The sequence below is a fragment of the Homo sapiens genome, chromosome 3, assembly GCF_000001405.40.
Source record: "Homo sapiens chromosome 3, GRCh38.p14 Primary Assembly".
In the NCBI taxonomy this organism is placed as follows: domain Eukaryota; kingdom Metazoa; phylum Chordata; class Mammalia; order Primates; family Hominidae; genus Homo; species Homo sapiens.
In genome coordinates, this window is record NC_000003.12 from 154,163,064 (window position 1) to 154,188,660 (window position 25,597).

Here is a 25,597-nt window from a genome sequence, read left to right on the forward strand (position 1 = left end):
ATAATTGTCTTACTTGTTTTTACTTCTCTTTCTTAAATGTATATCTAGCTTACATTTATTTCAGTGTTTAATATTAGAAGTGTTTTGAGTGTTTATTTAGAAGTTTGGTGATTTTCTTTTTGACCAGAAATATCCTGTAGGAACTTAACTTTTGTTTATATCAATGAGCCTTTGGTAAAATTAGTTTAGTTATACATCATTTCACTTAGAGTCACAGCCCCCAAAACCTATCAACAACATTGTGTGGACTTACTGTACTACCATTTCCCTTTTGTGGGTAAGGAGACTGAGGCCCAAATTAGTTACGTGGATTTGTTTAAAGTCATTCACCTAACTGGAATTGTACCTAGTGAGTTTTTTGATTCTTCATAATGTATTGGCATAGACTGTTTGTTCAAAAATACATATATATTGTAAGTGCAGTTAAGGGTTCAGTCTACAGAACTAAATTTTAATTTAAATTTTAATCTGCCAGGGATTACACATCTGGAAAATTATTTGAACTTGCTCCTGTTGGTGTACATCACCCATGGAGCTAGTCAGACGGAGTGATGAGATTTTTATCTCATATTTGAATGTCTTTGACCTCTTAGAATATGGAGACTTAAAAGCAAAGAGCATCTTGTTTTCTGTGGCACAGCTCTGTGGCACATCATAAAGGTCATTGTCTTATTTTCTCATGGACATTGTTCCCGAAGTGAAGAATATTGTCCATATCTTTAGCATAAGCAGTCTGTGAATGTGTCCCAATGGTTTGGCATTGCAGTATTCTCTAGAAATAACCTAATTGATTATAAAAGTATCCCATAATCTGAAGTGTGTGGAGTTTGTATTTATTAACTTTTGCATGTATGCTGTCTATGTACTTTCCTCAGATTAAAAAAATACCCAAATAACATACACTACCCTCCTTAAACTACTTTACAGTGATTTGAGGAAGAAAAGAAAATGTATGTTTGGAAAGTGCCAACTTAATTCAGGTTGTAATTTTCTGCTTTTTGGTCTAAAAAATCTGTTTTCAAAATAAACTTTTGTAGAAAATGATTTTGCAAGTCTTTTTTTAGGACTTAAAGAATTTCTTATATCTTAGGTGCTGATATAAATACTGAGCAACCTCACAGCAAAATATTTTAATTTTTTAGAGTATCAACTTTATGTAAAAAAGCTGTGAAAATATGATTTTTAAAAAAAATTTTGAAATCACCTATATGCTAAGAAGAAGGTGAAGACTGTTTTAGTATTAATTCAGTATATTATTACCATTCTCTAATTGTTTTAAGGATGTGGATTAAATCATGTAAGCCTTGTTTTTTAATTTTAAAAATATATTTATAAAAAATATCCTGAGGAACATATGATGAATGGTATTTGTTAAAGAACTTAATAGATACTTTATACAGTGTTTCCTTTGGATTTCAAAAAGGTTTCGGGAAATGACTTGGACTTTGAAAAAAATTTTGGTGGAAAGGTTCCATAGAAATGTCAAGATTGGCTAAGATTGACCTTGTCACTTGTGGGGGATTCAAACAAAGGTCCCTTTGTAACAAGAAAAACTGTCTCTGTATTGGGAGTTCATTGGAATTTCTTTTCTAGCAGAGAAGAGTAATACGAATGACCAGAACAGGGCACAATAGGAATGTTTGTGTTCATCTGCTGAAGTTGTCCTGTGATGTAGCTTCTACTTCTTATTCTCTTGAGTCTTGTATATATTTGATACACACTACTTAGTTATAAATATTTAGGTGTACATTTGTGAATGTTTTTAGATAGCTCTGAAAAAATCTGCTGTGAATAAGATGCTTTCCAAGAAATCCTCAGCAAGCGTTCTTACAAGTTGAGATTTTACTTGAAGGCATTCAGTTGAAAAGAAAGCTGGAGTGATTAAGTTATGAAATTATTCTCTTGGATTTATCTAAGTGGCATTAAGGATTTTTAGGAAGACTGGTTTAAAAAATGTATGTCACAGGTATAGATTTAATTATTTTATCTTTGATTTTTGGAGGATCTCATATGGTCGTTTGAGAATCTGTGTTTTTCAGGTTTTAAAAATATTAAATATGGGAGGAGTTTGGTTTACCTCACTTATGCTTATGCCATTCCTAGGGGTCACTGTATGCCTCCTGTTTTGAACCTTGACTTATTTTTTAATCCTTTTTCTTTTTTCAGTCTTCCTGGCCAATACCCAGTTTACTTTCACAAAGCTGCTTTTGTGATTGTAATATAATTTTATTTGTCCAGAATATTATTTTACCACTGTTTTAATAAATTTAGAGATCAGGATATCATTTTATTAATATTTCAGAGAGAGAGACACTAAGTGATTTTCTGTTACTTATGGAGTACCTTTTCCAACTTAGAATGGGGAAAACAGTATAATTATTTAGAACTAAGATACGTTTTCTCTGCATGCTGTTGAATAAAGCATATTTTTCCGGACTCTTTGAAGACCCCAATATTTGGAAACTCAGGTGTTCAAACTGGAGAAACTTGCCTGCCTTTATCTATTTTATTCCAGACTTTCCTGGCATGAACTAATTACCAACTTTGAATACTAGTTTTTATTGATCACATTTCTTTTTCCTGAGACCTGCATAAGGAATGTTAATCTCATCCTTAGACAGATCACTTTGTCCCTCTGCATGTCAGCTGCTAAATGAACTTTCCATCAGCATGGAACTAATGTTTATCGGAATAACTAAATAATCTAAAACCAGGGCCCTAAGGTTTCACTTGCTGTGAGTCTGTTATCACCAGCTCACACTGGAGAATTCTTTTTCGTACCATTGCTTTTTCTAAACAATAATTTCTATCCATGGTATGTGGATTTGGAAGTTAGTCTTTTAGAGACTTAGCTTTGCAGACATTACCTTAGGCTCAGAAGTCTGACTTAAATCAGGGTCTGGATGTAGTGAAAGCCTCCTGGGGATGGTTTGAAAAAATCTAGCTGTACATGTTGCTACAGTATTTATTTATATCTATTTTTATTTTTTATTTTTGAGACAGAGTCTCGCTCTATTGCCCAGGCTGGAGTACAGTGGCGTGATCTTGGCTCACTGCAGCCTCTGCCTTCCATGTTCAAGCGATTCTCCTGCCTCAGTAGGAGAATCTACTACTCCTACTGGGACTACAGGCACATGCCACCATGCCTGGCTAATTTTTTGTATTTTTAGTAGAGACGGGGTTTCACCATGTTAGCCAGAATGGTCTCGATCTCCTGACCTCATGATCCGCCCGCCTTGGCCTCCCAAAATGCTGGGATTACAGGCATGAGCCACTGTGCCCAGCCAGTATTTATTTTTAATGTGGGAAAGAGTTGCTAGAGGTAGCAAACATATGAATAACCTGAGGATAGGAAGGTAACGTATGAAAATGGTTTTCTGAGAGGGAACGTTCATGCTCTGAAAAACAGATGGAGCAGAAAGCTTTATAAAGAAGCTGCCTTTTCCTTTCCTCTGGAATTGTTGAACAACATCTTTGAGGGAAACATGACATAATATTTTGATAATTTTAGTGAGTGTATGTATTTGAGCAAGGCTGGTATTGAGTTGTAGGCTGTTTGGCATGGTAAAAGTTTGAATTCTCCAGAGCTGCTTTTAATCCATTTGCAATGCCTGTGTTTTTTCTTGTGAGCAGTGTGTATCCTCATCAGGGGCTGCCTCAATGCTTATCCATCTGGAGGAGGCTACTCAGCTTTAATTAAAGAAACAGTGGTTGAGAGGGTCCGCCTACAACCACTGAAAGTAATAAATGTACATGGTGTAAAATTCAAATACTGCCAAAAAGTATGCACTGAGAAACAAGTCCCCCTGTATGACTGGTTTGGGGCGTAGCTTCCAGAGATACTCTCTGCACATACAAGTACAGTTTTTTTAATACGATGATTGCCTACCATACACACTGTATGCACCAGTACCTATTTACTTTTAGTCCATCAAACAGCCAGAGTCTTAAGAATAACACCGAGTATAATTTTTTAAAATCTTTGTATGCTCCCCAAATAAGCCCAAGTTTTCTTTATGTAGTTTCTTCTACTTAGGAACTTTAAATGAATAGGTCCACATGAGTTATGGACTTTATTGTGAAAATAGTCATTGCTCTGAATATGGGATTCTTATTGAGCATTACATCTGATTCCTTGATAAAATATTTTAGGATGAGAGCACCTACTGTGTACCAGGCACTGTGCTAGGCATTGGAAATGTAACAGTAAGCTTGACAAGCGAGGTCCTTGTCCTTGAGACCTGGTGGGATAAACACACACAGAACAGATGCCTGAGAAACAGAGTATTCCTTAAAGTAGGACCTTGGCCTGGATGGGGGAACTGAGGAAGTGACCTTTCCTTACCGCTCAATCTTCTTTCCTTTCCTCCTTTGTCAAATTAATCTCATTAGATTAATAGTCTTTATCAGATGTTTTAATTCAAATATAATTCAGTCTAGTCTCTAGATATAGAAATGCCATACTAGTCACATGTTAATTGTTTTATATTTGCAAGTAACTTCATTAAATGGGCACCTGGGATGTATGGAACAGCTTAATAAACCAACATTTCTGCACTGTAGTTAAATTGATCCTTTAGCTACAATATGAAAATTTTTATTTAAAGAAAAACAGAGCCTGGATTATGTCACAGTGCAAAATACGAAACATATTTCTAGTTTGAATGCATAATTCTTGGATTTCCCTGCCTCTGAATGATTTCTAAATCTGGAAGATTTGGATCCTGTCAATTTATTTAGCTTACGGAAAAGTCATCTGATCTATACTTCAGGTTCATTAGAAACTCCTTTTACATCATGTCCTTAGGTAACAGTTTTATGAAAATTTCTGTAACTCATGATTGCAGTTTTGTTCTTACAATCTCCAGGTATTTTATTTAAAAATAAGAAATAAAATTGTACAACCTATCAACTGTGTGATCATTAGCTTGATTAAGATATAGCTCACCTGCTGTTAATTTATTTATCTTAGTAAGCCATGTGGTGTGCATGAGCTTATTTTACTCTTTCACTTTGTTCTGTGATTAATAAACTACTTCCATGGAATTTTGGGATTGAGTTTAGAGGCCATATATCCCATTCTGTAATTTACAGATAGTATCCCAGATCTCACAGCTAATTAGAATTAGAGCTAAGGCTAGAACTCAGGACTTCTGACCCATTTTATAGGAAAGGGTGGTTCACTGTGTTTTTAGTATGTTATATATTTACGTGGCTTAAAAGTCCAAAGAGGCTGTACACGTTGGCTCACGTCTATAATCCCAGCACTTTGGAAGGTGGGGGTGGGTGGATTGCTTGAGCTTTGGAGTTTGAGACCAGCCTGGGCAACATGGCGAAACCCTGTCTCTACAAAGTATACAAAAATTAGCCAGGCGTGGTGGCACATGCCTGTAGTCCCACCTACTTGGGAGGCTGAGGTGGGAGGATCACTTGAGCCCAGGAGGCAGAAGTTGCAGTGAACCGAGATCACTCCACTGCACTCCATCCTAGGTGACAGAGACTCTCTGTGTCTTAAAAAACAAAAACAAAAACAGAAAAACCCAAAAATGGCCAAAGATTATCAAATAGCATCTGTTTATATACTGAGAAGCCCAGACGCGTTGACTCTGTTACCCTTCACCTTCTGTTGATGTATTATATTAGTTGTCTTGTTTATCCTCCTAGCATTTCCTTATGTAGATACAGGCAAATAAAAATGGTTTCTTATTGTCCCACTTTTCTTTAAAAACAGCGTGCTGACTGTATATGCGATTCTGCCACTTTTTTTTTTCTCTCAAGAAAGTTTAAATTTAAGCTCCTGAAAAAAGTCAGTGTGCCTACAGATACCACTTTATTTTGTCCACTTAGATCAGAACTAGGTTGCTATCTTTAGCTTAATTCTAGCATATGAGAAATGTGAGATAGTTCTATGAAGACTGTAGTGAAAAAAAAAAGATTAGAAATGTAAAGTACAAGGTGGGAAATTATTGAAATTGCTATTATTTAACCCAAAGAAGAAAAAGTTTGGGCATTATTACTTTATAGATGAGGAAAGGGGAGGCTCAGATGGAGGTAAAGTACCTTACCCACAGTCACCCAAGCACTCGGAGTCTCAATGGGGGCCTGCACTCAGATTAGCCTGCCAGTATTGAAGTCTCAATTCCTCATCTGCTACAGGAGCCTGATACATTTGTGAGTGACAAGTATAGTCGATACTCATTATTTGCGGATTCCATATTTGCAAATTTACCTATTTGCTAAAATTTATTTTTAACCCAAAATCAATACTTGTGGTTTTATGGTCATTCACAGTCATGCAAGCAGAGCAGCAAAAAAAAAAATGTGTTTCCTGACACGCGTGTTTCCAGCTGAGGTTGAACAAGGCAGTCTCTGCCTTTTCTTATACTATAAACAAGTGTCCTTCTGATGGTCGATTAAGTGCCACAGTTTTTTGTATTTTTGTGCTTTTTGTTGATCATTTTGCTGTTTAAAGTGATCCCAAAGCATCGTGCAAAACTGTTTAGTGTTTACAAGAAGGCTGTGGTGTCTTACAGAGAAAATGTGTGTTTAAGGTAAGCTCATAGTGCTATTGTAAGTTAGAGTTCTAGTGCTGTACTGCTGTTGGCGTGAGTTCAATATTAACAAATCAACAATATGTCATAGTTTTGTGACTGCAGTGATAGTGCCATTGGCGTGAGTTCATTGTTAGTGAATCAACACTGTATACATTAAATAAGGTGTTTTTAAACTGAAACACTCAGAAAACAAAGTTATGTATTGATCAGTTGATGAAATTATTGTGACCAGAGGCTTGTAGGAACCCACACTGTGTTTCCACTAGTTCAGTATTCCAGTAATTCAATGTTCACAGCAACTTCATGGAACATAACTTCTGGGAATAATGAGAACAGATAGTAAATGCAAAGCCAGAAGTAGTCAGCTTCCTGCCAGTTCTAGCTATGTTTTATTTCTTTTCATTCTACCCTAAGGTACAGGAGGAATAATTTAGTTTAGCTATAAGAAAAAAAAAAACAACTAGCTGGGCGTGGTGGCTCATGCCTGTAATCTCAGCACTTTGCGAGGCCAAGGTGGGTGAATTGCTTGAGCCCAGGAGTTCAAGACCAGCCTGGGCGACAGAGTGAAACCCCATCTCTACAAAAAATACAAAAATTAACCTGGTGTGATGGTGCATTCCTGTAGTCCCAGCTACTCAGGAGCTGAGGTGGGAGGACTGCCTGAAACCGGGAGAGGTCTAGGCTGCAGTGAGCTATGATTGTGCCACTGCACTCCAGCCTGTGACAGAGTGAGAGCCTGTCTCAAAAGAAAAAGAAAAGAAAAGAAAAAACAAACAAACCCATGACTTCCTATTGAGATAACTCAGGACTATGAAATACAAGGTTAAATTGCTTATTATAAAACATCATAACAATTGAGACATTTTGAAAGTTGCTGACAGTGGTGTTACTGATAGTATAGCATGGTGACTAAGAGTGTCATCAGTCCACCTGGATTCCATTCCCTTCTGTACCATTTGTCCTGTGTGACCTTGAGCAAAATACCTAACATCTTTGTGCTTCAGCAGTCATGTGTGTAAAATGGAGATGATACCACTAACTACTTCTTTGGGTTATTATGGAAGTTAAACGAATCAGTCAGTCAGTCTATGGAAAGCCATTAGACTAGCTCCTGGTATACAGTTAGTGCTTTTTAAATGATTAGAGTAATTGCATCTCCTCATTTGCCCAGGATAATTTTAGTTGTGATTAGCTGCCCCTTTCATTCTCAAAAGATATCCCAATTTGGAGGATAAATTGTATGGTCACCCTCTAATGTAAGGATGATTCATAATTATCAGCTAATACTGAATTATTGGCTATTTCTGTAAATACCTGTTGGGACGATTGATTTCTTTTTCTTCTTCAAGAAGTAAGTTGAAAAACTCCCTCCTCCTGGTTTTGGAGGGCTGCTTGGAGAAGAGAAATGGGAGAGGAACAGGTTGAGTATTCACATGTGGCATAATTGTGTGTTGTTTCCTTATTTTGTGTTTTTGCTCAGTGAAAGAAAGTGGTCTAGAATCTGGTTCTGGCATAGAGAGATTATATCTTTCCCACTGGACAGCTCTTTCTCTAGTAGCCAGGAAAGACTTGTGGGAAATATAGTTTATATTTTAGAACAGTTTTAGGTTATAGGAAAATTGAGCAGCAAGTACAGAGTTCTTATATACCCCCTGATGCTGCTCCCACCCCACACAGCTTCTACCCTACTATCAACATCCCACATCAGAATGGTACATTTGTTGTAATTGATGAAGCTACATTGACACATCACTATCACCTAAAGTACATAATTTACATTACGGTTTGCTCTTGATGTTCTACACTCTATGGGATGGATAAATGTATAATGGCATGTGTTCATCATTATTAGTATCATACAGAATAGTTTCACTGCTCTAAATATCCTCTGTGTTCCACCTGTTCATCCCTCCCTCTCCTTAAGCCCCTGACAACCAGTGATCTTTTTTATTATTTCTATAGTTTTGCCTTTTCTAATGCTGTTGAGTTTTGCAGTAGTTATTTGTCCCTTGTCCCACATAGTCTTTTGAGATGGCTATGAGACATAAGAGGCACTATTGAACAGGCAGGCAAGCAGGTTTGGATTTGGGCCATTTGAAGGCTGGAGACATATTTGGGAGTGGTTAGCATGTAGATGGAATTTCAAGCAATGGTGCTGAAAGAGATTATTGGAGAAAGACTAGAGATAGAGAAGTTAAAGCTGAGCACCAAGCCCTGAGACCTTCCAACACTAAGATATTGAGAAGTTGGGGGTGGGGGAGGACTGGCCAAGAATGCTGAGAAGGAGATGCCAGTGGGAGTAGAAGGAAACCCCGGATTATGTGTGCTCTAGAAGGCAAGCAGGATGTAATTTTTTTTCTTCTTCTTCCATATTTATAAAGGAAGAATCAACATACCTTAAGAATGGTTTCAATCTCTTGTGGCATTCTTTTGAGGATCAGTATTTTGTGCCATGTCAATGAGATACAGAGTTGTAGACAGGAAAGGCTCTGCGCAAGAAGCAGGTGCGACCGGCTCATTCAGGGTGTCATCAGTGTAAAAAGGATACACTTTTGGAACTCTGGAGTCATGGCATGGCCCCTGTGCCTTCCAGAAGATTATTGGAGTAATCAGCATCACTTCCAAAGAAGTGAAAAGTGAAGGGGAGGTAGAGCACTTCAGTAAATGCAGTAGATGCTGTTGAAGTTTCACAGTAGCTGTGGAATGTGGATGAGTCTTCTGCTTTCATTTGTTTTCAGAATGTGGAAAGCACAGGTTGTGTTTAAAGACAGGCCAGCCTAGGCAGAGCCTGCCATGGCCAGGCACCATGGTGCACACCTGTAATCCCAGCACTTTGGGAGGACAAGGCAGGTGGATTGCTTGAGGCCAGTAGTTCAAGACCAGCCTGGCCAATATGGCAAACCCCATCTTTACTAAAAATAAAAAAGTTAGCTGGGCGTGGTGGTGTGTGCCTGTAGTCCCAGCTACTCTGTAGGCTGAGACATGAGAATTGCTTGAACCCAGGAGGTAGAGGTTGCAGTGAGCCGAGATCACATGAGTGCACTCTAGCCTGGGCAACAGAGCAAGACTCTGTCTCAAAAGAACAAAACCAAAAACAAAAGCAAAGGAAGAGCCAGCCATATAGAACAGATACATTCATTCTAAGGGGAACATGTTCATCCTCAATATGTTTCTTCTTATAAAATAAACATCCAAGGGTTTTTTTGGGTCATTTGTAGTGATTTGATTTCCAAAAATAATTAGCTTTATAAACATAAATTGCATAAGTAATGTCCCCATTTTATAACTCTAAGTTGTCATTATGGAAGGGATAGGCTGTGCTGTAAAATTGTTGACTTTGAAGTAAAATGCTTATTAAGGATCATGAGTACCAATTTTCACATATGTCGTAGCCTATGTTGTAGCCAAAGTCGACATTTGAGAAATGGTTAAGGTTTTACAGCAACGTTTACTTTATTATCAGAATATAGTATATTCAGTCAAGTACTATTAATACCATTTCATATCGTAATTATGCCATTTCAAGGGAATTTATTAGAAAGGTTTACATGGATTCTTCTTTGCATTACCCTCCACTCCTGCCACCCCCCCACCCCACCTGCAGCCATCCACGTAAAAATTCATTATGTTACTGCCTTGGATTTTTGCCAATATAGAATAAATAATTGGATTTAGCTTCTGTTACAGTTTTGTCTGTCTCAGATTATGAATGTAAGTTGGTAAGATTTTCTGCCAATTTTAATTCACCAAGATTGCATTAAAATTATGAAGAGACAATTGAATGTAATTTTTCTTTCCTTTACTCCTGTAATTGAACTGTAAAAGTTCTCAATTAATTACAGTTCTTACAGAGTATCAATTATTGCAATTTGCAAACTCCAGAGCCTTTATAATGAAAGATAAACATTTTACAACCATACATTTGTCAACGTTTGATGCTAATTGCAGCAATTAATTCGTTCTTTAATGTTTAATGTTTTATAGGTTAATGAAAGCTGGCATTCTCTTCCCTCTTTATGTTAATATGAGAAACTTTTCAGGAGTAGGGTACAGATTGATACATGTATAAAACTATTTTTGCAATCTATTGCTTGTCTTAGCAACTAAATGAAAACCAGAGGTTGCAGAGGTTTGCTTATTCTTTTCTCTGCATATGTAGAGTGGAGGCCTGCAGGTTCCTGACAAACAAGAGCAGAAGTTTAATGAGTCCCTAAAAACTCAGTTTGTTTCTAAATAAAACATAAATTTGGAGAGTTGAAATGAGTGATTTCAGAAACCTTTTTGGCTTGGGTGAAAATTAGCATCTTCTCAAGTATTTCTTAAATGCCTTGTCATTTGAAGATGATAATAGTATCTATGACCATTTATTCAGCCCAGTGTGCTGAGTACTGTGGTAAGTTCTTTTAGTACTTTATGTTATTTAATCCAGAATTCAGACAAGATCTGACTCCAGAGCTCTCTCTACAGGGAGACAAGTTCAAATACCTGCCCTGGCAGCCAGGCCATATAGCTTAGTAAAGTAGGATGGGTGTGAGATGGGTCTGAGTAGTGGGATCACCATAAACTGGGCTGTGAGTACAGCGCCAGTCATTCCAGCCATGGTGGAATGTAAGCTCAGTGTTGCCAGATCTACTGATGTTTCAGAAAAAGTGGGAAATCTAGATGTGTGGGTGCACTTCCTTAATTTTTAAATGTTTGGAGCTAATTTAGGTTTTTAAAATACATGTGTAGGGCAGTTTCAACCCACCAGCCATCCATTTGAGAGCTCCGAAGCACACTGTGTTGGCTTGATCTTTTGGTCTGAATTAGCTTGATACAATGGCTGGGGCTTGTGCCTATGCATCAGGTGGCACTCTTGAAGTTCCTCAGAGAGCCTCTCTACAAATTCAGCAGGGGTTGGAGGGAAGAAGGGAAAATATATCTTAATGAATTATATTAATAAATACTAATATGTAATTTGAGGCATTGAGGAAATACAATTATATAACTTTCAGTGATAAAGCATGCTGATCTTTCCTTCATTTTCCTTCCTGTTACAGTTAATTGGGCAATCAGTTAAATAATATGCCTTTGTCAGATTTTTTATATTAGAGCACCTAAAGGATCAGGTAGATTTCTTTTTTATAGTATTAACACAGAAGTAAAAACAAAGTAGCCTTTCTTTAAAAGAATGAGGAAATGTATACATACATATACATACTCATTTTTTTTTCTGAATTAAAAAATAGTTAAGAAATTTGAGTTGGCTTGGCAAAGAAAACTGAGAAAATGCTTAAAATTAGAAAATATATAGACATATACTTTTTATAAACATTGCAAAGAAAAATGATGGAGACTATTTTTATGTTCAATCTCTAACTGTCCTAGGCATAGTGTAAGTGCCCTCCGCATGCAAGTCATGATTTACTGTGAATGGGTCTCCTGTATATACTGCTTTCAGCCTGTATGTTTTTTAAAAAATTGAATTTACCATTCTGTGTCATAAGACTAGAGGGTAAAGTTCAGATTTTGAAAGTCTAAGAAAATGTGATGGCATCCCATTCATCTTGTATTAAAGGTTCTATAAACCGTAATGGTTAGATCTTTGACCTCTGTTCCTACACCTGCAGCTAGTCCTAAATCAAAGTGTTTAAGCCTGACATGGGCTGTACCTGTAACTCAGTGTGGAAGCTGCATATTGTAGGCTATTTCTACTGTTGGAGAGGGAGGGCGGGCATTGTGGTAACTCTTTTTACCTTTTCATATGTTCATTAACTTTCCAAGGAAATGAAATGCTTCCCTCTTCTTTTTCTACGGTTAAATTTCAAGCTAGTGTTAAAAAAAAAAGTGCAAGGAATTAATGTACCAAACCCTGGAGATGTGTAAAAGAAAAACCTTTAAAATTGTATTTTCAAAAATCTTGAGTCCTTTTAACATTCCTATAGATAATTTAGTAAAGATAAATCATACTTACTTTTTCATGAAGCTAATTGCCTCTGGTTTGTATCCCCTGAGAAATACTAATTTACAAATTAGAACCTACAAATGATTTTTGTTTCAAAGACCACTTTTGTTTCAGAGACCACTTTCCAGGGAACAATTCTCAATAACGGAAGGAGGGTGTTTTAGTTCCCCCTTCAAAGGAAGGTATTGGCACTGTATGTTTTGTTTTGTTTTGTTTTGTTTTACAAAGAAGCCAGATGGTATTTATTTTGCATAGCTGTAATAAGTTCTAAGGAAAGCACTTGGAAATGGTACTAATGTTTAATGGAAAGATGTATAAACCCACTTGGGAACTGTAAAGCATTATGCAAGGTATAGTTTAGCTATTTAATATAATAACAGGTAATCATTCTGTGCTGGCTTTGTTATTAGCACAGGTGCCAGGGCATTTTGGGGCTCTGACATTTTATAGAAACCAGAGTAGCTGCTGACAACTCAAACAGTATTGTTACCGTGGCAGGGCCTGGATCCCACAGTCTAGCTATCCAGTGGTGCCTACCTTCTGTTCTGCAGGTATATCTTTCTCCATCCCTTTTAAACCGGAGACTATCACCCTGTGAAAGGATCACAGTGCAGCCTTCCCCTGAGTAAATGACAAATAGGCAGTTTCTTTAGTATTTTTCACATTCCTGCACCTGGCTGGGAGCCAGCTCTGCTTTTGTGGCAGAAAGTGAGGCTGGAGAGAATGTTTGGGAGCCAATCTTTGGTAGGGAAGTGACAAAATGCAAGGGTATATGTATATGGGCCAAAGTTAAGATAAACTTTTTTTTGGTAGTTTTCACTGTAATTATTAAGAGGCAATTAAAAAAAAGAGGTAACACTAGAAAATGACAAACTCCCAGAAGGTGTGATTACTTACAAATCAGCTGCTCTGGGTCCTGGTGAGTGACATAGTCCTGGTGATCAGTGTCAGCATCCTTCACAAGCAATGAAAGGAGAGTTCGCAATGACGCTGCTTCACAGGATGTAGATGGGTCCAGGCATTTAGGCTGGCTGAGAGGCATAAAGTGGCTGAGATTTGGTTGGGAAGAACCAAGATGAGGCGTGCCTCTGTGTGCTTTACGTAGACGGTGTTGTATGGTTAGAAGCCAGTAGTTAGAAATTCGGTTTGAAAAGCCGGGTCTGATGTTTCAGAGAAAAAGGGTAATGCGGCCAGAGACGTTTTTAGAAGCAGATTTTGGTAGATTCTTTTTACCTTTTAAAAAAATACATATATATATCTTTTTATGAGATGAGGTTTTCCTACATTGCCCAGGCTAGTCTCGAACTCCTGGGCTTAAACAATCCTCTTGCCTCAGTCTCCTGAATAGCTAAAATTATAGGCATACACCTCTGTGCCTGGCTTGGTAGAGTCTCTAAAAGGGGATTGATGCAAGAATAAAAGGGAGAAGAGTAAATACCATAAAAAGCCCATTGCAGAAGGTGTGTGTTTCAAAGCCAGGGTAGAGAAATAAGTAAGGGATGCATGTATAAAACAGAACAACATTGGTGAAATGTGACTGTTTATGGTTTACAAATTACTGATTGGCAGCAGGAAACATAGATTTAAGAATATACATGCTACAGAAATTTCCCTAAAGAAGTAACGTATTTTATAATTCTAAATTTACTGTTATTAAAGTTAGAGGCTGCCAGCAGCTTGGTTATGGTCAAATGCCAGGTAAGATTTTGGGATATGAAACATTTGACCCTTCTGAACTAAGTTCACATGCATTGGACCTCTCCGAAAGCCTTGTAAGAGGGTATAAAAGCAAACTTCCCTTAGCTTCCTACAAGTGAAACCATTATTTCCTCTTACCAGGGTACCTTGCATGGTGATTAGGCAGAAGGATAAGAGTTGTGATGTGTTAAAGGCTGTGCAGGACTGGCTTTAGTGTGGACATAACTGTCTCTAATTCCCTGGTGTGACTGGGGTGGGGGACATGTTGGCTGAATTCCCTCTCACTGACCCTACAAATACAAAGATGCTTAACATTCCACATCTCTCAGCCATTTGGATCTATAGAGTGGTTTCGGATTGTGTTCCATCAGGCCTGGAATTCCCTGAAGGCACTTTAGGGTCTGCCAATTTGGGTGTCAGGGAAGCAAATAACTGGGCCCTGGGCCTCCTGACCCTGCTACAAGCAGAACAGCTCTCTTTTATTGTGGAAGTCTTGGGACTTTTCATAAGATTCACTTGAAAAGGGATGAAACACATACAAAATCCACTATCTGGGGAAGCAGGAAAAGAGAGCATTCTGTATGTGAACAAAACTAGCTGATACAAGCCCCGGCCCTCCATCCATTTCTCTAGCTGCTGCACTTATTAAAAGGGCTTTATTGGCCAGGTACAGTGGCTCACACCTGTAACAATCCCAGCACTTTGGGAGGCCGAGGCAGGCAGATCACGAGATGTGGAGTTCGAGACCAGCCTGGCCAACCTGGTGAACCCCTGTCTCTCCTAAGAATACAAAAATTAGCCTGGCATGGTGGTGGGCGCCTGTAATCCCAGCTACTCGGGAGGCTGAGGCAAGAGAATCGCTTGAACCCGGGAGGTGGAGGTTGCAGTGAGCTGAGACCATGCCACTGCACTCCAGCCTGGTTGATAGAGTGAGACTCCATCTTAAAAAACAATAAATAAATAAATAAAAATAAAAGCTTTATTGAGATCACAATTCATATGCCATACAAATAACCCATTAAAATTGTATAATTTAGTGATTTTTAGTATAGTCATAGATTGTGCAACCATCACCAGAGTTTTACGATTTCATCACCTCAAAAAGAAATGCCCTACCCATTAGCGCTCACTCCGCATTTCCCCCCACACTTCCCCAGCTCTAGGCTGCCACCAGTCTACTTTCTGTTTCTATAGATTTGACTGTTCTGGAGATTTCATATGAATAGAAAATATAAAATGTGGTCTTTGATGACTGCTTTCTTTTACCTAGCATAAAGTTTTCAAGGTTTATCCATATTGTAATGTGTAAGTAAGTACCTTTCATTGCTGAATAATATGTTATTGTGTGAATATACCACATTTTATTTATCCATTCATTAATTGATGGATATTGGGTTCTTTTTTATTTTAAATTATGCTGCTATGAACATTTGTGTTGAAGTTTTTGTGCTTTCGATTTTTATTTCCCTCGGGTATATACTTAGGAGTGGAATTGAAGGGTCATATGGAAACTATGTTTAACATTTTGAAGAACTGCCGGCCTCTTCTTAAGTGGATATGTGTAGACTTGCAGCTGGCCTCTTTACCACCTTTGCACCTCAGTTCAGCTTTTTCCAGCCCTACACCCTGCCCTTCACCCTGCTCCCTCCAGGGTTACTTTCCTAAAATACCAGAAACCCTAGTGGTTCTCTTGTTACTTTGAAACAAATTGAAACTCTCTAATAGGGCATTTCGAGTTCTACATGGTCTAGGCCCAGGCTATGTTTATAATTTCATTTAATAGTAATTTCCAAGTTCTTGCGTAGATGTTTCATTATACAAGCACTAGATGTTTCATTATACAAGTCAGTGATTATTGAACTTCCTTTTAGTTATGGACCCCTTTGAAAATCATCCAATAGCCATACGTTTCTTGCTTCCTCAAAAAAAAATATGCATGTATAATTGTACTGACAACAACAAACCTGGCATGCAAGTTCAGAGAGTTTGTGATTGCTCTGGCACCATTAGCAAACCATGAAGTTCACCAACACATTGGCTGGGCACAATCTGAGTGTTCTTTGTTCAAACTACTCTCTCACCTCTCTTCTCCCTTTTCTCCTTCCTGCTGATTGCCTAATGAGAAGCTTTCTTGCTTTTTAGAGTATCTTTCAGAGAATCTGCTGGAAAGGAAGGTGGTTTGGCTCCTTTTTCCACCATTGCTGCTCCACAGTTGTGTGTGCAGTCCTGCAGCAGGGCCTTGAGGGAATTGAACAGAGAGGGCTAGCCTCTCTGAGAACTAGATGGTGAGTGCCATGAAGACAGAGACTTTTGTTGGAATTGTCCTGGGCTGTGTATTTTATGTGTCTAGAATAGAGCCTGGCACATAGTAGGCATTCACTAAGTAGTCACTGAAAGAATGGGTAGGGAAGGGAATTGAATCTGGAACCATCAGCTTTCTGGGATGGATGAAGCTATATATAGTAGGGCCCATGAGTTACAAGGGACCCGTATGCAGATACTGGATGTTGGTTACTGGGAATGGAACAAGAGGTTAGAAGAGAGTTTCTAAGACAGATTAAGAGGATGTATTAGTTTTCTATTGCTGCTATAACAAATTACAACAAACTTAGTGGTTTAAAACAACACAAATTTATTCTTTTTCAATTCTGAAGGTGGGAAGTCTGAAATCAATTTCACTGGGCTAAAGTCATGGTGTCACTAGGCTGTTTCCTTCTGGAGGCTGTAGGGGAGAATCCGTTTTCTTGCCTTTTTCAGCTTCTAGAAGTCACTTTTGTATCGTGGCTTATGAATTTTTCTGTCTTCAAAGCCTACTGTGTACCATCTTCTCTGATTTCTACTTCTCTTCTGACTCTTATCCTCCTGCCTCCCTCTCTTATAAGGACCTCTGTGATTACTTTAAGCCCACCTGGATAATCCAGGATGATTTTCCCATCTCAGTATCATTAATTACTTCTATAAAATCACTTTTACCATGTAAGATAACATATTCACAGGACATGGACATTTTTGAGATGATGGACATTAATAATGGACATGTACATGGCCATCATTTAGCCTGCCACAGGGGGCTCTAAAAATAAACATGGCGCCCTTTGTGTTTTTGCCAAGTGTGTCTGTTCCTTGCTCAGGGCTTCTTAATTGTGACATGACTTCTTCCTCACAATGATTACGCTAAGGCCAAGGACAGTGTTTGCATGTAAAGAAATGTTCCACCACTTCTCAGTTGCTGAGAACTGTTAGTTTTCCCTGGTTCATTTCTCTCCCACATGTAACTCACTGGGGAGGTACCAACACAAAGGACTTAAAAAGGTCTGTGCTGCATCCTCCTCTAATTTTGTCATTGGTAAGTACCTACTAAAACAGTAGCTATCAGAATGGGAATGAGAACTACCAGAGCATTTTTGTTTAGAACTCTTTTTTCCCCTCACATCCCAAACCACTTTTAATTTCTTATCCTCTTATTATCAATCCAGAGATAAAATTTCAGAAGAAAAGGCTAAAATAGAATATGAGAAGACATATAGTCTGCTGAAAAGGAAGTCTCTTGAGACCTTTACCAGATCAGGATGTAGGTAGGATATTTTCTGATTGAGAAGCAACTGTCCTATATTTGTGTCGAATCAACACATTTCCTATCACTGTTAGTCTCTGGTGAAGGATTCATCGATGAGCTTCATCTTCCTCAGCACTGATTTTGATGTATTGTTAATGGCTGCCTGGAGTGCAAACTCTGCATGTAGGCAGAGTGCCAGACAGTTACTGATGCCTGCCATGGGTTAGTGGCGGTGCGCTTGCCATGCTTTTATTCTCCCTGATCCAGTATGTCAAAAGAAACTGACTTCAACCTTCAGTGTCAATGTGACCACCAAAAAAATTCCAAATAAAGCAGCCCCAAATCTTACTTACCGGCAGCAGAATATAAATTCATTTTGGTAGAGTACAGAATGTTCTGTATTAGGAAAGTATTTCCAGCAGCACATACTTCGCTGCCACTTATCTGGAATATTTCTTTGTTTAGGGAAGATATTTTATTATATAACAACAACTTAGACATGTGAAATCTGCCTGGTATGTTACAAGTCTCCAGCCTAAGTGAATATGACCTTCTCTGGTAGGATACTGCAGCCATTTAGATTGACAGCTCATTTAAGTGAGGGAGACGTCCAAGAATGATTTCAGTTTGCTTTAGGCAGATGGATATTAATGAAGAAAAAGTACCTTGAAAGGATGCCATTCTGAGGAGGGCACCGGACAGCGGCATTGATTATAACCAGAGCTCCTTTTTTTCTGTGTTTCCAGAGCTAGAGTGCTGAGTGCTGCGCTGCTTAGTCTCTCTGTCATCCTTCTGAATTGGATAGGGGAGGGGCTGGTCTGGCAGGTTTTTCAGAAAATGCAGCTGGCATTGAAGAAACTCAGATTGGACTGGGTCTCTCTTTAGTAATCCTAATTGAAGAATTGTAAAGACTTGTGCTGGGAGTTTGTGTCTTCATTGGTGGCCCTTCCTGTACCTAGCACAGTTCTGGGAAGCCAACTTGTGGTCAATTAAATATATGTTGACTTATCAGTGATAAAAGCAAGGTAGAGACTGACCCAATTTGTGGGCATTACTTTCTTAGTAAAATAATAATAGAACGAAATTCTTTTACATGTTTCACCTTTATCATTTTTTATTTAAAACAATAAATTTCATTTGTTTATGTATTCACTGATCAAATATTTGACTGTCTCCTATATTCCAGGTACTATGGCCAAGTCTGGGTGGGTGGGTGGTTGGGTGTGTGTGTGTGTATATATACACACACAATATATATATACACACACACTATATATATATATAAATATAGTAGTGAACACAACAGACATGGCCCCATCCTCTAAACCTTGCTAAGAGAGACAAAAGTAAACAAAAATTATAAAAGAATTAATTGCCATCATAGTAGGTACACTGAAGAAAATATATGGGGATTTATGAAGTCATAGAACAAGAGAACTTAGCCTATCCCAGCAGGTTCAGGGAAAGCTTCCTGGAATAGATGAAATTTAATCTGATGCATGAAGGATGAGTGGGATTCATGAGGGAAAAAGGGGAGCGAGAATAGGAGGGCCAAAATGAATAACCCCCAGAGGGCTTCACAGGGCACCTGTAAACCAATATTTGATCACACTGTGTCAACCAGGACCAGAGCACATTGCTGGCTGTGATTTTCCTGATTATCTTTCTTGGAGGCTGAACCTGATATGGTTGCTGACCCTTCTGTTGTCTGCACATTTTGTCATGGCGTGGATCTTACTGTGAACATCTGCACTACGTTGATTTGTGTAATTTATTTGCTGAGACCATTCAACATTAATCTTGGAAAATGATCTTTTTCTTTGCAGTTCCAGCTGCTACTCTTCTTGCTGGATGTCTTAGTTGAGGGTTGGCCAGTAGTAACAGGTGGGCAAGATCAGCTCACCGCTGAGAGCTGAGGCAGCAGGTGTTTTGGTTCAAGCACAGGGTCTGGCTCTGGTTTCAAATGAAGTTGTGACTTAAGCACTCTTTGCCTTGGTTTTCTTATCTATAAAATGGGTATAATGACCATCTCATAAAGCAGGCTTGCTGTTGGTTTTGTTTTTTCCTCAAAAATGTAGTGCCACATTTAAGATCATCACATAATAAAGCAACCACAAAAGACCTAAAAAAAATCCCTGCAGTTTTAAAAAACGTTAGAAGAAAGGTTACTAGACCATAAGCAAGCTCCACATCAGGCTCTTTTTTCAAACATGGGTTTTAGCTGAATCATCTTGAACCTCCTGGGAGGTGGACCTTATATGTTTGGTAGGACCATTATCTGCACAGCTGAGGAGCTCACCTTGGCAGACTACAATCATTTAAAGCACTCATTTGAAGTATGGGTGTGATTTTGCTTGTGATGGTGAGTTAACAGCCAAACAGGGCTAACTTGTGTTTCTGGTTAGGAGGGAATGTTTCTAGGCAGCTTTTCCTGGTCCACAGAAGGTTTCTCTTTAGTGGTGAGATTGGAAATGCTTTACAGGGAAAAAAAAGATAAAGGTTGTGTAACATGATTGGTTATAAAACATGAACATCTTGGTAATACTACAAAGAGGAAATAAGTGGAAGTATTATCCCCGAAAAAAATTCATAGAACTTAAATACGTATTTCCATTAAAAAGTTGTCCTCCTCGTAAGCCAAATTATTTCATTCAAGTTTCATCCAGGGAACCAGAATACTTTTACTTTTGCTTCAGATTTGATTTGATTCACCGGCATTCTTGGTTCCCGAAATCATACCTCATTTTTTAGAAATACTTTCTTGATCTTTTTGTAGCTAACTCACTTAGTAAAGTATGCAAATTTTCCAAAATAACTAATAGATCATTTAACATAGAAAGCTTTAAATTATGTCTTAATTATGTCAATGTAAAAATAAAAGGTGGGTGGTTTGGTTTATATTGAAGTAAGTAGCATAAACAGAAATTTAATTAGTACCTTATTTTTAATATCGTACTTTGGCAAACCTTTCACAGTGATAAATGAAATTTTCCTTTTCATTGGGAAAAGCCAAGTTACTGTTGTTTTTGGTTATATAGTTGCATTCCTTCAGGCTGGTAACAGTGTAAGCTAAAGACAAATTGTAAGAGCTACTTGCCTCAAGATATTTATATCCTAGAATTATAACGGCCTTATGGTTTCTTCTTTTTTCAATTTTCTTTCTTTTTTTTTTTTTGAGACGGAGTCTCGCTCTGTCGCCCAGGCTAGAGTGCAGTGGCGCAATCTCGGCTCACTGCAAGCTCCACCTCCTGGGTTCACGCCATTCTCCTGCCGCAGCCTCCCGAGTAGCTGGGACTACAGGCGTCTGCCACCACCCCCGGCTAATTTTTTGTATTTTAAGTAGAGATGAGGTTTCACTGTGTTAGCCAGGATGGTCTCGATCTCCTGACCTTGTGATCCACCTACCTCGGCCTCCCAAAGTGCTGGGATTACAGGCGTGAGCCACCGTGCCCGGCCTTTCAATTTTCTTTAAACAATTTTCTTTACATTTGCATTACAAAACAGTTGGAGTTAAATGACAAATATTTCACATTTCTATGAAAAACAGCTAGAAATCAAATAGTCTTAACTATATAGTACCTAGAATTCCAGTTCCTCTGAATTTTCACAGATGTGTATTTTTAGCTGTCCATTAGACATCTCCAAGGCAAAATTAAATGGAGCTCTTCCTGCTGCTTCTCCCTGTTCCTAAATCTCTGTCTTCATTAATGGTTTAAGAACCCACTTTATTGACCGGGTGGAAACCTTGACCAGAAATCTCAGCATCTTCCTTGACTTCCCATCTAATGCGTTTCTTGAGTCTATTAATTTTATCTCCAGATTGTTACCCTATGCTGGGTCCTCTTGATTTCCCACTACCAGGCTTTATTGTCAGCTTGCCCAGATTAGCCACCTAACCGGCCTGCTTGCCATCTGTTCCTCCCTACTAGTAATCCATCCTTGCTCTGCTCCAGTTTTCTCGGATTGAGTGATTTATTGGCTTCCACACCTCCAGTGGTTTCTTATTGTCTACAGATTAATTGTAAACTTCCCAGCATGCAGTATAACCTTTGCAATCAAGCTCAGCCCTGCTCTGCAGTCTTCTTTCTGTGCCCTTGTTCCTCCTGGAGTGGAGTCTGTACCTCAGCTCCACTGAACTTCCCAGTTTCCCCAACCAGACCCACGTTGCTTCCACTGCCCATTGTGCTTTGCTCCCCTGCTCCCGTCATGTCATCCTTCGCACTGATAATCCAGCTTACACGTGTCCTTACCTGTGTTTACCACAAGAGTGGTCACTCTGCCCTCTGGAGTTTTCTTTGTAGGCCTCTTTGGTTTTTTACTCACCATACTTCTGACACCAAATGTGTGAATTTTTTTTTTATACCAACCGACTCTCTAACCCTTGAGACACCAATTGTGTGTCCTACAGTTCCGGTCCTACAATTTAAGTTCCTACATTAACCACCCTGAGTTTGCATCACACTCCACAGGTTTAAGGTTTCAGCCCACAATACTGCCCTCATTTAAGACGGCAGATGCAAGTATTGGGTCCCCAGGTTACCCACACTTCTCTTCTACTTGGCTACAAAGTTGTGGGGGGATTTCCACAATCCACCCCTATTTCAGGCCCTGATGATTTGCTAAAATGGCTCACAGAACTCAGGAAGGTACTCTACAATTTCTGCTTTATTATATAGGGTACGACTCAAGAACAGCCAAATACAAGGATTGTTACAGGGCAAGGCTGGAGGGGGTGCAGGTACTGCAGACCACCTAGTCCCTCTCAGGGCCTGCTACTCTCCCAGCACCTCAAGGTGTTCATCGACCCTCCCTAACCCCATCAGTTAAGGGTTATTGTGGAGGCTCCATTACATAGGCACTATTGATTAAATCATTGTTCCTTGGCAATTGAACTCAAACTCTTCTCTTCTTATGACTGGAGATAGGCAGGCATGGCTGAAAGTTCCAGCTCTGCAATCATGCCTTGGTCTTTCTGGCATGCTGAGAGCCATGCTGAAGCTATCTAAGGGTCCCCAGCTACCAGTCATCTCACTGGCATACAAAAGACACTCCTGTCACTGGAGATTCCAGGTATTTCAAGGAGCTGTGTTCCAAGGACCAGGGATGAAGACCAAATACTTATTATTACCACACCTGTGTTATAGATCCTGTATTGTAATTGGCTGCATGCCTCCCATCAACCGCTCCACTGTGAGTGTTGGGAGGGAAAGGATCATTTCTTACTAAATTTTGTTTAATGAGCTAACCTCTCCTTGGCATATAATTCAGCTTCTTCTGTTTTGGTTCAAGTATTATGCTACCGTTTCTCTACACACACTTAGACACACACACACACACACACACACACACACCCCTATACACATACTATTGTACAGTCAGTGTGGTTAAAATTCCACTGATAGGAATATACCCCAGAGACTTGAAAACAGACACAAGAATAGATATTCGTATGCAGATGTTCATAGCAGCATTATTCCAGGTAGCCAAAAACTGGAAACTACTCAAGTCTCCATCAGCAGATGAATGGATAAACAATTGCTATCTATATGACATATATAATGATATATATCATATGTGTATTATAGATATATACACTTGTATGTGTATATCTATTTAGGTGACCCTAAATTGCTATCTATTTATACACTAAATCTGGTAACCCTGGCCGGGTGCAGTGGCTCACACCTGTAATCCCAACACTTCGGGAAGCCAAGGTGGGTAGATCAGTTGAGGTCAGGAGTTAGAGACCAGCCTGGCCGATATGGTGAAACCCCGTCTCTACTAAAAAACATAAAAATTAGCCAGGCATGGTGGCACATGCCTGTAATCCCAGCTACTCAGGAGGCTGAGGCAGGAGAATCACTTGATCCCGGGAGGCAGAAGTTGCAGTGAGGTGAGATAATGCCAGTGCACTCCAGCCTGGGTGACAGAGTGAGGCCCTTTCTCAGAAGAAAGAAAGAAAGAGGGAAAGGGAGGGAGGGATTTAAATATCATGTATATTATCAGATTTAAAATAATGTGATTGTTTTTATTTTGAGAAAAAAACATATACTGTTAGATTTATTTCAGACTTTTTTTTTTTTTTTTTTTTTTTTTTTTGAGACGGAGTCTCTGTCGCCAGGCTGGAGTCCAGTGGCGTGATCTCGGCTCACTGCAACCTCCGCCTCCTGGGTTCAAGCGATTCTCTTGCCTCAGCCTCCTGAGTAGATGGGACTACAGCTGCGTGCCACCACACCTGTCTAATTTTTGTATTTTTAGGAGAGACGGCGTTTCACCATGTTGGCCAGGATGGTCTCGATCCCTTCAACTCATAATCCACCCGCTTCGGCCTCCCAGAGTGCTGGGATTACACATGTGAGCCACCACACCTCCTGGCCTCAGACTTATTTTTTAAGCATTTATTTAGGTGTTTTGCTCATGTATTTTTCCATACAATAAAATATATAAGCATTCACTCCCCTTCCCATAAAGAATTCTTGAAAAATAATGAAATATGTTTAGTCTAAAGTACCTGAAGGCAGAGCAGATCAATGTTTGAAGCCAAACACTTGAAGCAATAACTTGATTTTTTTTTTTTTTTTTTTGGTTTTGTCTTGTCTTGAACTCCTGGCCTCAAGTGATCTTCCTGCCTCAGCCTCCCAAAGTGCTGAGATTATAGGCGTGAGCCACAATGCTCATCCTCAAGGAGGTGTTAATATGATAGATTTAAACTTAGATAAAATTTTTATAGATTTTAAAAATATTTTTTAGTTGGTACTGTGTACTGTTGAATTTTCAAACCCCGTGTAATAACATTACATGAGGCTAATCTGTTATCTGTTAGAGTGTATGAAAGAAGTGTTAATTTTTTTTTCCCTTTGGTTTTTCAGGTTCTTTATAGAGTTGGAAGCAAGACATCAGAATAATATCTTCATAGATGACATAAGTGACATTGTGGAAAAACACACAGCATCCACATTTGACCCATATGTGAAATACTGCACAAATGAAGTCTACCAACAACGAACACTACAAAAATTGTTGTAAGCAATGTCGAATGCTACAGTTTTAATCATCTAACCTAGTTTTAATTAGGCTACATTGACTGAAATTAATTGATCTTTTGAATTATATTTAGAAATGCCTCCTGATAGGCTATTTCCCAGAGGAGAAATGTTTAAGAGCATTACTTTTAGGGTGAGGGTGTTTAAGTAGAAAAATCTAGTGTGTAGAGAATTTTCTCTCTTACGAAATTATAGCTTGTTATTGATGTCCTTGTTTAGTGTTTCGTTGTTTTTAATTGTTGCAGGAAACAGAGGTGGTCCTCACTCTAAACCCGCAGTTTTCTAAGCTTTTTACTGGCAATTAAGTGGTTTTCCTGAGGCTTAGAGGGGATTCTTGAGTTGATTGAGCTAAAAGCTAAGATTCAGAGTTTTCTCTACTATTCTGATCTCCCTCCATTCAATTGACAACGATAATAAATTGTTCATAAAAATTGCTGATTATTCCCCCCACTTGGGTAGTTAGAGTTGAAGAGAGGAGGGAAGTTCTGAAGGAAAGCAGTAGAAAAAAGTAATGTTCTTAAAGATTTCAGTTATGCAGCAAAAGAGTTAAGCATTAGATTTCCTGCCACATCTTTTCTTTTTGTCCTTTTTAGGTTACTGAGAGTTTTGATGTGATGCATATGCCATCTGTGTCCTTAAAAGAGTCACCAATTGTTCAGTAATGCCTATATGTATTTTAAAGAGTCCTGTTTATCACAAGTAGCTGTTTTACAGCACAGTTGTGCACTGCTGTAAACCCAGTTTGGGAGCTTAATGGCTGTTATCGTTCTCACCCCCTCCTGTGAGTTGTGGCATTTATGAC

At 38.8% G+C, this 25,597-nt stretch overlaps 1 protein-coding gene across 5 annotated transcripts in view; it reads left to right on the forward strand.

Moving 5' to 3' along the window:
- The window catches only part of ARHGEF26 (Rho guanine nucleotide exchange factor 26), a 136,823-nt gene that overhangs the window by 42,061 nt on the left and 69,165 nt on the right, over positions 1–25,597 (forward strand). For all 5 annotated transcript variants that reach the window (NM_001251962.2, NM_015595.4, NM_001251963.2 and 2 more), the window contains exon 7: positions 24,622–24,774. In NM_001251962.2, coding sequence (NP_001238891.1) covers positions 24,622–24,774 — 153 coding nt within the window. The remainder of the gene's footprint in view (positions 1–24,621; positions 24,775–25,597) is intronic.